The sequence below is a fragment of the Homo sapiens genome, chromosome 1 (assembly GCF_000001405.40).
Source record: "Homo sapiens chromosome 1, GRCh38.p14 Primary Assembly".
Classification (NCBI taxonomy): Eukaryota; Metazoa; Chordata; class Mammalia; order Primates; family Hominidae; genus Homo; species Homo sapiens.
Window position 1 is genome coordinate 196329577 of NC_000001.11, and position 17579 is coordinate 196347155.

The window sequence follows — 17579 nt, forward strand, 5'->3', positions numbered from 1 at the left end:
TGACTGAAGCATATATTATTTTAAGATTTATCCATAAAGAAAATAACAACAATATTATAAATAATATTAGTCTTAAAAGGAGTCAATGTGGGGGAAGGGCCTTGAAATTTAGGATTTATTAATGTTACTGAAAATACATAGCTTGCCAGAAATATCAAGTGCTTCATAATATTAAAATAATAAGGACCGCATATATATACACATATATATGTGTATATATGTAAATATATGTGCATATAGGTATATATATGTATATATGTATTTATGTACATATATGTATATATGTGTATATATACACTTATATGTGTGTGTGTGTGTGTGTGTGTGTGTATTCATCTGGGCCCATTGAAATGGATAATTCTGTTCCTCAAGACATATATATATATATATATATATATATATATATATTTGAATGAGACCAATATATATATTCAGTCTTGAGGGACAGAATCTCATTTGAATGAAAGCAATATATATATATTTGGTCTTGAGGGTCAGAATCATCCATCTCAATGGGCCCAGATGAATATTTCAGAGTAATGGCAAAGATTCTCAAAGCAACTTCAGGGAAACAAAGGCAGGAATTTTCTAATGTTCTGTAAATCTTCTTCCTCAAGAGTGACAGTAATAGTCAAAATTTATAATATTTGTCATATAAAAATAATAGCAAGAATATATTAAGCACCAACTCAGTTATTAACTTTCTTGCACTTCATTAAACATGCACTAAATTATATAATCCCTGTAAGAGCCTTATGAGGTTCATATTAAAATAATATCCACTTTAAGGATGAGGAAACTGAAACTTGGTGAAGTTAGTTGCCCAAATTACATGACTTGTAAGTGGAGAGCTGAGATTTTTAACTGTAACTTCAAAACTTAATGTAAAAGAAAAAATCCCTAGCTAGAATTAGTGGCAGATCTGAATCTCCAGGGGCAGTAAATATAAGGTTCTTCCTTTTATCAGTTTTGTTATTCTTCAAGAGAATAAATTCATACCAGTCAAGCCCAATGGTTATATTGTGAAAAAAGATAAAAACTCTAGCATTCTTAGAATTTTTATCTTTTGGACAGCTTCTCTTGGACATCCAAGAATGACAGTAAAATTTTGAGAAAGGAAATATTAGGCAAGACTCTAATATGAGCTTTCACTTTAGTCATAAATGAATCTTTGTGTCTAACACATGGACTTACTCTTCCCATCATGTCAAGGGATTCCATAATGAGATATAAAGTAATAATGTTAAAATAAATAATGCACATTTGACCCAAGTGATTTTTGGAGACTTTGGTTGTTGAGGGTTCATAGGGATGAGATTTGGTACCTTATTTTTCTCTTTAACAACATGACTAGCAGATCCAGTAGGCTAATATGGTAGAAGACTAAAGCATTTGGGTAATCATTTGTGCAGTTAAAAATGTAAAACTGACCACTTTATATAAATTTACATTGGAAAAGATAATACCAATACCCCTTAAACATATTGTAATCAAAATGCTGTACAAATTACTTAAATTATGTAACTATAAAATGCTATAATTTTATTTTGTAAACAAAAAAGCATCAACAAGTACTTACCTTGTCTAATCTTAAGCAGCAAAATGGTACTTTTTCATGAAGGAGATGACAAAAAGTGGGTGAACTTCCTATATATGGAGAATAAGGTGGGTAACCTTTAGCATACCTGTAAAATAATACAAAATATTACCCTTGGATAAGGCATGCAAATTTGAGAAATTAAGTTACGACCATGTTCCTCTGTTTTAATAACATTATAATCAATACCTCTGTGTTGCAATTATATTTTGATAAAGAGGTAGTTAAGAAGAGAGGTAGGCAAACTGTGGCCCCAGGATCAAATATGGCCCTCCACATGGTTTTGAAAGGGTTGTTTCTGCATTTTAAAATGGTTGGAAAAAATCAAACTAGTATTTCATGTCATGCGAAAATTATACGAAGTTCAAATTTCAGTATCTATAAATAAAGCTTTATTATAATTCAGCCACACTCATTCATGTATGTATTGTGTATAGGTGTTTTTGTGCTTTGGTAACAGAGTTAGTAGTTGCAACAGGGGTCAAAAAGCCTGAAATATTTACTGGTTGTTCCTATTTATAAAAAGTTTGTTAACTCACAGCTTAGAAGATTTTCATTTTTAAAAAATAAATAGTAATGGTAATTTTTACAAAATACATTTAAGGCAAAATGCATTATTATGATTTGCTCTATCAATATTCATTAGCCATAACTACATAACCGAAATGGAACAAATAACTGAGCTAATTGGTTAAAAACATAGTTTTTGTTGTAATCATACTTAAAACATTATCAGAGAATTTAGCTTGCTGACTTTTAAAAAACAGCCAACAGCATATTTCGGCTATACTGACTTTCAGAATGAAACTTCTAAAACGTAGCAGCATAAATGAAAATTAGGCAATAAAATAAAATTTAGTGAAAATAATATTCCTTTATCCAATAAGAAAGTGTTTGATTTTAACAAATTTACCTGCTAAGCCATAAAATTTCTGACCTAGTTAAAACTATTTTATCTTAAAGAAGAGATGCAAATCAGCATTTTCAGGAAATAAAGTTCGTTGGCTAAGAGATAAAATTATAGGGTAAAATTTTGTAAATTTAGAAGTTGGTAATCTCTACAATTACTCAACATCTCTTTCGTTTTTCTAGAAATAAGAAAAAATCTTTTACCTCTCAATTTTTTAAGAAGTGTAAAGAAAGAATTTCAGTCGCACTCCAAAACACTGTTTCCTGTGAAGACACTGGTTGCCAAACCTATCCCTGTTCCCATCCTAGATTCCAAATACATTTGAGGACTTTGACCATTAATGTCTTTGAAGAGTAGATTTGGTTTTGTGGGTACACCAACCTTTCTTACAGTATTTTTTTAAGTGTGAGAAATTTAAACAAAGAATATTTTCAAGCTTCAATGACACTGAAGTTCTTCTTAGTTCAACATTACTTGAATTTACATTTTATGAAAGACACTGGAAGAAATGTCAGAGATTATGCTGCCAATGCCACTACTACCCGTAATATGACTAATAGTAATTAATACTAATTGAACGCTTACTCTACACAAAACATTGTTTTTGTATAAACACTTTTTCTCCATTATCTCAATTAATCACTAATAGCTTTCTGAAGTAGTAATTACACTCAGTTTACAGGTAAATAAATTATTGGCTAGTTTTTTTTTTTTTTTTTAAGACAGAGTCTCACTCTGTCGCCCTGGCTGGACTGCAGTGGCAGGATCTTAGCTTACTGCAACCTCCACCTCCTGCGTTCAAGTGATTCTCCTGTCTCAGCCTTCCAAGTAGGTAGGATTGCAGGCGCGCACCACCACTCCTAGCTAATTTTTATATTTTTAGTAAAGTTTGAGACCAGCCACACCACGTTGGTCAGGCTTGTCTCAAACTCCTGACCTCAAATGATCCTGCCATCTCGGCCTTCCAAAGTGCTGGGATTACAAGTGTGAGCCACTGTGCCCAGCTGCAAGTTTTTTTTTTTTTTTGTTTGTTTGTTTAATTAAAGTCACTTGTACACAACCAATATAAAGTGGAACTGGCATGGCAAGCAATGTCCTTAGTACTCCACAGTCAAGCCTGTGGACTGCTGTGTTTTCCTGAAGAATGACAATTTAATATGTGGAATAAGACATGCAAACAAACTCTACTGCAAGCTACAATGTGATTAATACTATATAGATTGGCGTTCTATTATTATGGAAGCCTAGAAAAGGGAAACAGTACTCCTTTTATTCATACATTTAAAATAATTAATGAATAGTGTATGAAAGTGCTGAACACTGAGATAAGTAAGGAAAGCTTAATGGAAGGGGCTGTGTTTTCATTTCATTGAATAATTGATTGAACTTCAATATGGATGTGCAATAAAGTAAATTCAAAGTATAAAGTACAATATACTATAAAAACCATACAATTATGAAAATGAAGCTTATATCTTGGGAACACTGATTTTTTTTTCCTTGAGGATAAAAGATAATTAAGAGCAAAATGAGACTGGAAATATATGTTGAAGCCAGAAACTTGAGGGCTTATAATGCTCTGCAGTCAAAAGAGATACTGGCTACTAGCAGTGCGTTTTGGTAGAAGTATATAGGAATGATTCTAGGATGTTCAGAAGGAAAGATCATTAGCTCCTTACCTATTGGGAAGGTATGTAAAGAAAATACTTAAGGACATTAGCACAAAACCCAGTAATCTTACACCTTAGAGTATCTGAACATACTCTAAGTTTGAAGACATTTCTTCATCTGGTGTAGTTTCATCTTCTGATTGGTCACTTAGAAGATCACATGTTTGAATCGATGATGTATCTGCAACCTCTAAAACAGGAGCAATGCTAGGTCTTCTTATTTCTTTGCTTCCCTCTGTAGGAAGAGACAGGGTAGGGCCACTTGCTGATCTACAGCTTGTATCTTGCAAGTCTATAGCCACAGTACCTAAAACAATAAAACATGAAAATTTATCAAGGCGTTTGCCATATTGATCACTAGTGTTGAAGGTTACATGAAATATGAAATATAATAAACACAATAAATATATATATAGAGAGAGTATATATTTATGCGTGTGGTGTATAAGTTTAGTTCTGATAGCTAAATATTTCTTTTGCACACAGGCATTTTCCTGGACAAGAAAATCTCTATTTGCACAAAAGTGTATTTGCAGAGTGTTGTTCTATGGCACAAAACATAAGATTTGTAAAATCCTGAAGTATATAGAAACTTAAAGTGAAAAAGTATACCCTGATGTTTCAATTTATATTTATTTAAAATTTATTCTTTTGTTGTTGACCATGTCCATTTTGTGAATTTTTCATTATGTGTTTCCCCTCTTTGCTTTTTCTTTTATTTCTTTCTTTCTTTCTTTTTTTTTTTTAAGACAGAGTCTCGCTCCAGGCTGGAGTGCAGTGGCACAATCTCGGCTCACTGCAAACTCCTCCTCCCAGGTTCAAGCGCCCCCTTTTCTATTGAGCTATCTTTTTGTAATTGATTTATGACCACTTTTTAAAATATCGGAACTACTAATATGTTATACTTATTTTGTATTAAATGAATATTTATTGAGTGCCACATATGGGGAGCACTGTTCCAGGTACTTGAGATCTGTAGAGAAGACAAACAAAGTTTCTACAAGATGAAACCTGTATGTAGCAAGTAGACAAATAAATGGATAATTGTAGACAATAATCAGTAGCATGCAGGGAGAGGAATGGAATTTTTATTTGATAGGAGAGAAGGCCACTGTGAAGTTAGGACATTCGATTTTTGACCTGAAATACAATAAGGAGCACACAAGTCATGGAAGTACCTGGAGGCAGTAAGAATGGCAAGCCCAAGCCCAAGTGGCTTAAGGTTATTGAATACTTGAGGCATTCAAGGAATAGAAGGCAGAAGAAGCAATTCCCTTTGTGAATTTTATTGAAATGTAAAAATTAATTTTAATATCTATTTATGAAAAATTGAGGTTCCTCTCCTTCTGGAGAAAATAACGATGAAAGGCATCATATTTCATAATTACTTATTTCATTTATGTACTCAGTGGCACCTGGTCATCCTTCTAAAAGTTGCTAGTCTTTGCTTTGTCCCATTCTTTGAAACAATTACAGTCATGCATTGCTTAAAAAGGGGGATATGTTCTGAGAAATCTACCATTTGGTGATTTCTTAGATATTCAAACATCATACTTACACAAACCTAGATGAGGTAGCCTACTATCCTAGGCTATATGGTACATAGGCTATATGGTATAGCCTACTGCTATATGGTATAGGTATAGCCTACTGCCCCTAGGCTATATGGTATAGCCTACTGCTCCTAGACTACAAATCTGTACAGCATGTTACTGTACTGATTGGTGTAGTCAATTCTAACACAATGGTAATCTCAATATAGAAAACATACAGTAAAAACATGGTATTACAATCTTATTGGGACCACCATTGTATATGCTATCCATCATTGACTGAATTTATGCAGCGCATGACTATTTAAAATTCTACTTTCCTCAAACCTCTGGCCTTCCAAGCTTCTTCCTCATTATAATAACATGAACTGAAGAAATTTTTACCTTATCTCAGCCCTTCACTTCCATAGTGATTTTTTAGACCTTGTTATAACCAATAAAAACAATGTTGCACACATTTTTATGCATTCACCCTTTGATCACCACTATTTCTTGTTTGTTCAGGTCACTCTCACTGATTTCCTAACACTAGCTATGATTTTACCATGCTGGAACTTCAATTCTACTGATGATACCAGAGTTTGTCTCTCTCATTCCCTTGATGCTCTCTCTTCTCTTCTTAACTATCTTAAATTCCATGTTTAAGCATTATGATTATTTTCTTGCATATACCCCTGGATCCCTTGATACATTTTTGCTTCATTCCACCCTCTTGACAAAATAGAACCCTGCTTAAGTTAAACTCTCCATGTTCCCCATATCTATACCTATGCAACTGAATACACCCAGACAGTTTAGCTCTTGCATCATTAATAGTCTCTCCACATTGTCTGTCCTGATTTTTGGCAGTTTCACCATACACATAGATGATCCTTCCAACATTCCAGACTCAACTCCTTGTCCTCTTCTCTAGTAATGGCTTTTTCTACTATCACTCTTCAGTCCTTCACTCTCATGGCCACACCTTAGCTTTTGTAATTATTACTTGCTGCACATCATCTCTCCTTCTGGCATCTCACTCTTTGACACCTGTACCTTGGCTTTCCAGCTCTTTCCCTCTTGATTTTCACTGGAATTAGAATCGATTAATCCACTCTCCTTTCAGTCTTTTCTAACCAAAATACATCTTTTCACTTCCTTACTTAAATTAAGTTCCATGGCCTATAATTATATACAATCTATTATACAAACCCTCAATCTCTCTGCCTTCCTTACTTGCTTGTACTTTCAACACAAGCTACAAATCCATTTCTTTTCTCCGTTTTGCAGTCAGACGTTTTAAGAACTGTCCAGACCTACTGTTTCTAATTTATCTTCTACCATTCTTTCCCAAACGTAGTCCAATCTAGCATTGTCCACCACCACTCCATTGAAACAGCTCTTATGAGGGTGAACAATGATCATTGCATTGCTAAAGTCAATTGACACTTCTCAGTCCTTATGTTACGACCTATCAGTACTTGGCTTTCAGCCATGACCTATCAGACATGGCTTTACATGGTGTTGTCTTAATGCACTTAGCTCACTTGGATTCCAGGACACCTCACTCATTGGGTTTTCCTACTAGCCTGCCAGTAGCTCCTCTTTGGTCTCCTTTGCTGGTTTCTTCTCATCCCCCTGATACTTAATCTTAGTATACTGCAGAGCTTTGTCTTTTATTTTTTCCTGCCTGTACTCATTTCCTCAAAGACTTCATTTGGTCTTATGGCTTTAAATATATACATAAGATCAGAAATACAAAATTTACTTTTTCAGCCTATCTCTCTCTCTCTCCTGAAATCTAGACTCTTACATACAACTTCCTGTTAGACATCTTCAAGGTGTTCCAAAATACTCTTTATCTTCCCTTCACCCCCGCAAAACCTGCATTCCCCCTAGCCTTTCCTCTAAATTTATGGCCATTCTCTTTCCCTAGTTGCTTAATCCGAAAACCTTATGTTTCTTCACACTTCTCTTTTTCTCACAGTTCAATTTCATTTTGTAAGGAATCCTGATTATCCTCAAAGTACATGCAGAATTTTCTCCTTCTTACCACTTCCACTTGAAAATAGTCTGATCCTTGCTCCAAACCATCTATGTTCAACAGCAGCCTGAGTTGAGCACTCAGCATAGGTGAGATCAGGTCAATGGCTCTGCATAAAGCCTTGCAATAATTCCCACTTCACTGAGAGTAGAAGCTGCAATCCCATATGGACTTAAATAAGCCCAACAGGATCTGGCCTCTTTCTACCTGTTCGTCCTCATCTCCTACTATTCTTCCAGCATTCACTGTGTTTGAGGCACAAAGGGCCCTGTTACTGTTCCTGGAGAACCCCAGCCAGGCTCCCACTTTAGGGCCTTTGTACCAGCTGTTATCTCTTTCTCCAGACCTCCACAGGACTAATTCCTCATTTCTTTCAGGTATCTGCTCAAACATCACTTTCTGGCCTACTAAGCACTTCATTTAAAATCTGCTCCTCCCAAAAATTAATTATCTCCTATACTAGCTCTGTTTTCTTCTTTTAGTTTTTCCTTTATAACTTATAACCCACTAGCATATTAAGTAATTTACTTATTTTTTTATATGTACTTTGGTTATCGCCTGTCTTCTCCATAATAGAATGCAAGCTCTATGAACTAGGGATCTTTGTTTCTTCACTAACGTTTTATCACAAACACTTACACGAGAGTTCTTGGTACATATTAGGTACTCAATAAATACTATTTTGGGTACATATTAGGCACACAATAAGTACTTTTTGAAGACATTAAAAATGAATATTGCTACTGTAGAATAAAAATAAGTAAATGACAAATAGGATTACCTAAGAAGGTCTAGGTAAAACCATGGAATAGTGTTTGGAGGGAGTGATATTTTGACTAAGATATAAAGAATTAGAAGTCATTACTTAGGGAATGTTGGGGTGTGAGGAATAGTTCCATCAGAGGAAACTTAATGTTTTAAGGCCCATTGGTGAAAAAAATATATTAGTGAAGATTGAAAGAAAGTGAGTATGTTTGGAGCTCAGGAGAGCAGCAAAGAGGTGGTAAAATGTGGAGCTAGAAAAGTCAGAAAATATCACTAATAAAAAGCCTATAAAGAAAATGATGAAGTAATTTATTTTCTAAACTAGGATACTGCAGAGTAAAAGGGGGTTCTTTTAATAATTACATCAGGACAATTATATAAACTGAACAATCCTAAGAAACTGGAACATTCCTAAGAAAACTAGGATTGCCTAATGCAAACAAGAACTTTTGGTTATCCTATTTATAAGTTAAGTCACACTACAGAATTTAGACTTTTTTTTCCAATGGGTAGTATAAAGCAGGTGATTTGTTCAGGAAATGATGCTATCAAAATTATATTTAAAAATTTTTACTCTGGTGGCAGGATGGAGAATTAAGTGTAGAGTGGCAAGGCTGGAGGCATGGAAAAAAGACAAGGTTGTTGATCCTGCAGTTCAGGGAGAGAAGGATGGAGGCACAGACCACGATGATGTTGGTGGTGGACATGGAAAAAAACTGAATGATTCTAGGGGCTATTTACTGACCAGATTTAATAGAATTTGGTTAATGATGAGGTATGAGAAGAGCGGGTGGTGAAAAGTCAGAATGGTGGCCTTACAGATCAAAGGATAATGGTGTCATCTGCTTTTTAGCAAAAAAAAAAAAAAAAAAAAAAAAAAGGAGAAGGAGAAAAACGGTGTTGAATGACTGAATGAGAGTGTAAGGATCAGTTTAATTTGAATATGCTGTGCCAGTTTTTCCCACAAAATACTCAAACAGAAATAACTAGTAGACAGTTCGCGTTGCTGTAAAGAGATGTTGAGTTAATGCTTTAGACAGAGGAATAATCAGTTTACGGACAATAGAATCCATGAGAACAGAAGTGACCACACAATGAAAATGAATGTGCACAAAGCAGAAAAAAAGGCATTAGAGTGTTTCAGGAAGAACATGGTCAATATTCTTGTCATATACTGTGAAGACAATCATTTTAGATGTAGTGACAAAGAGGAACATGGTGACCTTGCCTGAATAGTTTCAGTGATATGACTGCAGGTGTCAGATTGAACTGGGTAGAATCATGGACATAGGACAACAATAAAATTTAAAGCCTGCCACTAAACACAACACTTTGGAGAAATTTGTCTCTGAAGTTGTTATCATGGAAGGTTCAAAATTACAAGTGTATGGTGCACACAGAGATATGAAGAGACACACACACACACAGAGAGAGAGAGAGAGAGAGAGAGAGAGAGAGACAGAGACACAGAGAGAGAGAGATCAGCCAGTGATTCTGAATAGAAAATGAAGTTAGGTAATGAGGAGGGATTAAAGAGTAAAGTCTCTGAGGAGGAACAAGGGCATGGTTCCTGGAATAAATGAATGTATCAGTATTAGTTAAAAATGACACATTTTCCTTGTGACAGATACTAAATGTTTGTAGGTTTGTAGATGGTTTGGAGGCCAAACCGTAAAGAAATTCTTATTTGCATGGAGGTATTTTTTCTTTTACCTTTCTTCTTCTGTGTCATAGAAGCCAAGTTCAGTGGTGAGAGTGAGGTAAGAGATGGAAAGAGAATTTTGAGAAAATGAAGAATATTTGAAATAGCCTCTCTTGATGATAATTACAAAGAGAACTTACAAAAGAAATATAAAAGTGTGTGGTGCTTTATATATAATGAGAAATATAAAATGATTGTTGATTGTGTTTTTGTAATATCTTAGATTGAGGTTTTTTTGGACACAGAGTCTTTTTCTGTTGCCCAGGCTGTTCTCAAACTCCTGGCTCAAGCAATTCTTCCACCTCAGCCTCTGGAATAGGTAGTATTATAGACATATGCCACCACAGTAGGCTAATATCTTACTTTTTAAAAAATTCACAACTTAGAACTGTTGTCCTGTATACCTAGTCATACCTAGTTTGTAAAATGCAGCATGTTTGAAATTTTCTTTAAACTTTTAATAAAAATTTAAATGCATTGGTATTTATCATTATTTTTTATTTTAGAAATAAATTAATGATATTTCAAATTTGTTTATACTTACCCATGCTGGCAATTATGCTATGTACAGGTAATCTGGAAGGTCCATGATAAAACGACCTGGACACATTGCTTTTTCTCTGCTGGTCTTGGTTTTTAAATGCTGAATTCTCTTCTTTGGTAATATTAATATAAAAGCATATGTCTGTAGAATTCATAATGTATCGAGGACCTGGATTCAGCAAAATGTTTTTATTATCCTCCCTCCTAACACCAATCAAGCAGACGCCAAACCTTAATTTAAAAAAAAAGAGAGTTTGTAAGAAAATTAGTAAATTATTGTAAGGCTGAGGAAAATAAAAGCTTTAAATAATAGCATTTTAAAGCTTGAAATGATCCTAGAAGTTCAAGATCCTCATTTTTACAGGAAAATAAACTATGTGCTTAGTGTGTTGTAAAACCAATTTAGCTGATTATGACCACTATAAATTTACATTTTAATGAAAATGAATGGAAGAACATAAGAAACATGAGTGCATGTATACACTAAGGGTAACATTATTTTGCGAATTTTTACAACAATTTTACTTTGGTCAAAAAACATAAACAGCATATCTTACTTTGGTTAAAAAAAATAAATAAAAAGCTTAAAACTATTGGCCAAAGGAAAGAAACTTACCCATGGTCACCTGAAAGAGAACCAGGGTCCCTGAATTTATCACAGTTGGTTTACTTTAAATTTTAGAAAAAATATATATATTTAAATAGTCTTAAATAGGTATGTACTTAGTCAGAAAAAAAAAGTAAAGTAGAATACAGAAGCTCCTTGACTTATAATAGAGTTATGTCCTGATAAACCCAGCATAAGTTGAAAATATTGTTAAATAAAAAATGCTTTTAATACAGCTAGCCTAACAAATATCATAGTTTTAACCTAGCCAACCTTAAACATACTCATAACACTTACATTGCCTACAGTTGGGCAAAATCATCTAATACCAAGCCTGTTTTATAATAAAGTGTTAAATATCTTATGTAATTTATTGAATATTCTACTGAAAGTGAAAAATAAAATGATTGTATGGATACTGGAAGTATGGTTTCTACTGAATGGCTATTGTTTTGTACCATCATGGTAAAAAAATAGTAAGTCAAAGCATCATAAGTTGGGGGTTCCTGTACATTACATAATAGATTAGTTAGTAGACTATATACGTATATTGTAAATCCTCCAAAATGTGTCACATTAAAACATTTAATACAGATAATATGTTATTTTCATTATATACATACATTTTTACTTCTTAAGTAAATCCTTTTTTTTTCCAAAAAGGAAAAGAAAAAAAAAGTTCTATGTTTGAATTGGAAGGTAGTTTTATTTATTTTTTAACTTATTTCTCAGGCCAAAACAAGGGCCACCATCAGAGATTTTTTTTTCAAATGTACAGTTTTTAGAAATATTAGTGTTACTTTGTTTTAGTTCCTAATCAACATCTTAAAATTCAGATCTGTGAAGAAGATTTTCATATGTATGTAAATTCTTAATGGATTAAAATATTTTAAAAAGACTTTAAAAGTGGCTAAATGAAATATTCCTACTAAATTATAATTTACTCCTGACTGTCTTATAGAGACCATACAGACACCAGGGTTCAAATGTTTCAACATTGGGGAATATTGTGACAAAAATTCCGGAATGCCTAAACACATGAACACAATATGCATTCTATTTTTGAAAACTATTTTCACATGATATGCTTGACTGATTGATATTTTAATTTTTCTCTGAGGCAGAAACATACTTTTTGTGTGCATGGAAAGAGGCATATGTAAAACTCTTTCCTTCATATTCAGCAAAAAATGTACTTTCTTCCAAAACAATGTGGTAGACTTCATTCCCGGAGCATCTACCGTACATCTTCTGCCATTGTTCTGGCGATTGCTGGCCTTCTCTGCAACACAGGCACACACACATACACACACACAAAAAGAAAACACAGTGAATGTGGTTAAAAAACAGTTGTTATAGAACTGTTTCTCAACTGTGTAAGAACTGGCAAGCACAATCCAAAGGAGCATCTGAGTAATGCTTTGAAGTCTGAAGATGACATTATATGCAAGAGTTTCTAAAAAATTTTGAATACTATATATATATATATATATATATATATGTATATATATATATATGCTTGAGAAATGACAGTTTTGTAGAAAGTGGGAGTTTTCCAAGATCCAGCTAATGAAAAGCTTTACTCTCACAATGAATCAATGAGATACAGGATTTTAGTCTCTCTTTATATACATATCCTATCATGTATATCTTCTAAAATTTGTTGTACAGTCTCCATAATATGGCCAACGTTATCTTACCTATGATACCTGCGTGGCTGCTGTAGGTATTTTATTTTGCTTTATACTTAAAATTACAAATTTATCTCAATTTATCTTTGATTTTATAGAAAATATACCTTTAGTTTTTGTTCATATCGTAGCAATAACTTTCTTCCAATTGTATAGCAGTCACGAAAAGACACTTTTCTTATTTTAAATGTAAGGATCTCTCCAACTAACTGAATATTCTTGTAACCACAAAATTCATGTTGGAATCCTAATCCCATTATGATGGTATTTGGGAGTGTGGCCTTTGAGAGGCAATTAGGTTATGAGAGTGGAGCCCTCAGGAATGGAATTAGTGCCTTTTAAAAAGATGCTAAAGAGCTATCTTCCCGCCATGTGAAAATACAAGTCAGCAGTTTAAAACTCAGAAGGGGGCCCTCACCAGCACTGGATCATGTTGGCACCTAGATCTTGGATTTCCAGCCTTCAGAACTGTAAGAAATGAATTTCTGTTGTTTATAAAATGCCCAAGCTGTGGTAATTTGTAATAACAGCCTGAACTGACTAAATCTCCAAAAGACATCCCACAAAAGTATTTTTATAAAGAAGATAATTTTACCACAAAAAGTACAATGTCTTTTGTTCTGGAACGTTCTGCGCTGCCCGCCTAACTCAGTGGCTTTAGAAATATATTAAAAATTCAATTTATGAGAAATTCATAATGGATATATAAATAGGTTATTTCTCATTTTATATAATAAATTCATTTACCTTTGCTGAATAACACTTATGAACTCTACAAAAAAGCACATTTTAGAAGCAATATGATAAATATATAAAAATCAAAATAATTTATCATAATCTCTAATCAATTCTTAATGGATCAAAACAGATCACAAGACATTACAACCATGTTTAGGACTTTAAAGGCCATTTTAAACTGAGTATTGTCTAAAGGGTTATTAGGAAGGTAACATTTGTCAATATTTTCAAATTGTCAATAAGCTTTAAAAAATATCTATATTTTCTAAGTATGCCTCATTGCTGCCTCATTCCTTCTTAAGTATGCTTAAAGAGTTAAGAGCCTGGGCCCTGGAGTTTGATTGTCTAATCTGAGTCCCAACTCTATAATCGTGTTTTGTTTTGTTTTGTTTTGTTTTTATTTTTATTTATTTGTGTGTTTTTAGAAGGAGTCTTGCTTTGTCGCCCAGGCTGGACAGCAATGGCACGATCTCAGCTCACTGCAACCTCTGCCTCCTGGGTTCAAGCGATTCTCCTGTCTAACCTTCCCGAGTAGCTGGGATTACAGGCACCTGCCACCATGCCCAGCTAATTTTTGTATTTTTAGTAGAGATGGGGTTTCACCATGCTGGACAGACTGGTCTTGAACTCCCAACCTCAGGCGATCCGCCCGCCTTGGCCTCCCAAAGTGCTGGGATTATAGGTGTGAGCCACCGCCCCTGGCCAAACTCTACAATCTTTTGTGAGTTATTTAACTTTTCAGTGATTCTTTATCTCTTCAGTGACAAACAGTATCAGCTTCATTGGGTTAGATAAAATGAGGTAACACAAAGAAATCACTTGGGAGATGTTGGGATCAGAGAAAACACGCAGTAAATGTAAGCTGCCAATATTACTCTGATGTTACATCTTCCTCATTGCTAAATTCCGGAGCTATTTTAAATAAACCTAGTCGACTTACTAAACAATAATGCTTTTAAAACCTGTGCCCATTCTTCCATAATGTTAACGTATTTTTGGAAGTAGGAAAACAACAACATAAAACAGTTTTGATTTTTGATTGCATATGACTACATCTAGCTACTACTTCCTAAGAATGATTGTCTCTGGTGGAAAAAACGTTCCCTTTGGCAAACAAAAATAAAGTTATTTTTGTTTTGTACCACATTACTATTTAGCAAGATGATACTTGGCAAAAACAGAATCTATCTGAAAGGCTGAAAATGTATGAGATGGTGCTGGTAATTCATCAGTATTTGTTTGAGATCCAAAAGCCAGCATGAGGTCAACTAATTGTCATGCAAGGGTACTAAAAGCTATTCAAGAGAATTAGAAATCTAATTCCAGAAGCTGACAGGGGAACACAATGTGGTAACTTGGAAGGGAACAGAAATGGATGGAATCGGACTAGGACAGTTCAGATAAATTTTCTTAAATAATTTGCTTATTGCCTTGCTATTTTATGCTGGCACATTGCCCCTCAGGCAGCATCTTTTTTTAGGATGTCATTTCGTTGGAATTTTTTTTTTCTTTATGATTTCTTCAAAACCTCTAATAGTTAACCTGGAATCTCTAAATTAATCTAATTGTCAGTATACAAACTTTGTTATTTTCATCGCATGTTATTTGCTTGAGAAATGCTAGACATCAATATTACATCTAATGCTGATGTGTATATCCAGTCCCCACTCATTAGCTAATACACAAAATATTTATTGAGCACCTGTGAAACGTCAGGAAAGGCTTTAGATTCAAAGGTTATGGCAGTTAACAAAAAAGGTAAAAATATCTTGTCTCATAGAGCCACTAGTGGGAGAGGGCCAACAATAAACATGAAAAAGCAAATTGTGTTGTGTTTAGAGGTGATAATTGTGGGGAGAAAAATAAATCAGAAAGGGAGCTAATATTTTAGCAGGTAGAATAAAATGTAAATAGTGTGACTAGGGAAAAGATGATATTTGAGTAAAAATCTTGAAGAAGGCAAGAGAGGTCTGGGAGAAGACCATTACAGGCAGAAGTAGCTACAAGCACTTCCCTGAGACAGTTAATGCTTGATGCGGCTAAGGAAGAGCAGGGAAGCCAGTTTAGCTGGAATTCAGGGAGGGGGAGAAAATGGGGCCACAGAGGTAACTAGCTGGGAGGAGGGATCATGTAGGACTTTATAAATAACTGTACTATGGCTTTGACCTTTCATTGGGATGACTTGGCAATCATTGGAGATTTTTGAAGACTAGTACAAAAGGTCTGATTCATATTTTATAAAATCCCTCTGGTCATTGTGTTGAAAACAGATTGAAGAAGAGACAATGACCAGTGAGGGGATTATTGCAATGATCCACCTAGATGATAATGGTTTGGATCATGTTAGATTCTGGGTATGTTCTGAAGGCAGACTTCGAGAATTTGCTAATGGAAGAGAAAAATATATAACAATCTTAAATATTCTTAGTCACAAGAAACATGGATAGATAAACAAACAAATAAATATACATATAGATAACAGTGAAAATGCAAGTCCCAGTGCTTACAAGACATCATGGGGAAATCTTAAATACAAAATGTTAAATAAAATAATAGTCTGCAGATTCAGCTTTATAGCAAACTAAGTCCTAGAAAAAGAGAGGAGATGTCAAACAGACATAGTGTATGTGAGGTTTCACAAACATTTGGCATGTTTATTTTTTTAAATCTGGAATACTAGGTACATGGGTGTTCATAATAATATTCTTATACCTTTTGAATGTCTGAAATATTTTCTAATAAATAAAAAATAAAATGCATCACAAAAAGGCAAAAAAACTCCTCCATGATTGGTACCAATAATTAAAGCTTTTTGTTTGTATATTTTTCACTGCTTCCTTGCTGTGTTTCAGGGCAGCATTTGGTCTACATTACATAAGCTTCCCCTATCCCCTACTTACTAATATTTTAGGACTAATATTTTCTCTAGGCAGAAAGTAATCATTTTTCCATTTCTATGATGAATGTATTGAATTTAGCTTTTTTGAATATCCACCCAGTTACTCAATGTATTGAATAATCTATCTTTTTACTCACTAATTTAAAATAACTCCTTTATCAAACACCAAATTCCTAATTATCTGTGCCTGTATTAGAGGTACATATAATTTCTAGCCTGTTAATTGATTCTTCTCTGTGAATTCACTAATAGCACACTATTTCAATTATTGTAACTGCACATTATTTTTAAGTATATAAGATAATCCCCTCTCATTATTATTGACCTTGAAAATTTTCCTTGCTTGTCTGATTGCTTCATTTTATCATATAAAATCAGCTTATCTATTTTAAAAAAGAATGTTGTGTTGGTATGATTGTTGGGATGGAATTAAAATAATAAATTTGGATGAAATTGACATCTTTATGTTAGCAACATATTATACCTTCATTTGAATGCTAATTACTCTTTATTTCTGCCACAACATCTCACCCAACACCAATTGCAGCAGAATGTAGCAGTGGAACCACTGAGCCCTGTTGTTTACTTTGTTTTCTGGAGGATTTCTGGTGACTAGAACATGTTCTAAGACATAGTAGATGTTCAAAAATATTTATTTAATGAAAAATTTTATTTTCCTGGTAATCTATGAGATATATGCTTTTACCCCCATTTCACAGATAAAGAAACTGAGGTTCAATGGCTTTGATGATCTTGCCAGCATGGGTAGATCAAATAATTCAACCCAGACACACTGGCTAAAAAGCCAGCACTTTGTTCAGGAACGTCAGTTCTGAGGAGCTCCAACATTCAGTGTGAATGTTGCTGCTGTTTTATTTCCA

At 33.9% G+C, this 17579-nt stretch overlaps 1 protein-coding gene across 15 annotated transcripts in view; it reads right to left on the reverse strand.

The window, feature by feature from the left end:
* The window catches only part of KCNT2 (potassium sodium-activated channel subfamily T member 2), a 382662-nt gene that overhangs the window by 103798 nt on the left and 261285 nt on the right, over positions 1-17579 (reverse strand). For 13 of the 15 annotated variants that reach the window (NR_146057.2, NR_146058.2, XR_001737149.3 and 10 more), the window contains 4 exons: positions 12503-12652; positions 10765-10994; positions 4271-4484; positions 1580-1685 (listed from right to left, as the gene is read on the reverse strand). Coding sequence is in view for 11 of the 15 variants with exons in the window: in NM_001287819.3 (NP_001274748.1) it covers positions 1580-1685; positions 4271-4484; positions 10765-10994; positions 12503-12652 (700 nt within the window). In the remaining 4 variants the exon portion in view is untranslated. Of the gene's footprint in view, positions 1-1579; positions 1686-4270; positions 4485-10764; positions 10995-12502; positions 12653-13479; positions 13530-17579 lie in introns of those variants that run through there. The other 2 variants (XM_017001183.2, NM_001287820.3) reach the window with 2 other exon arrangements.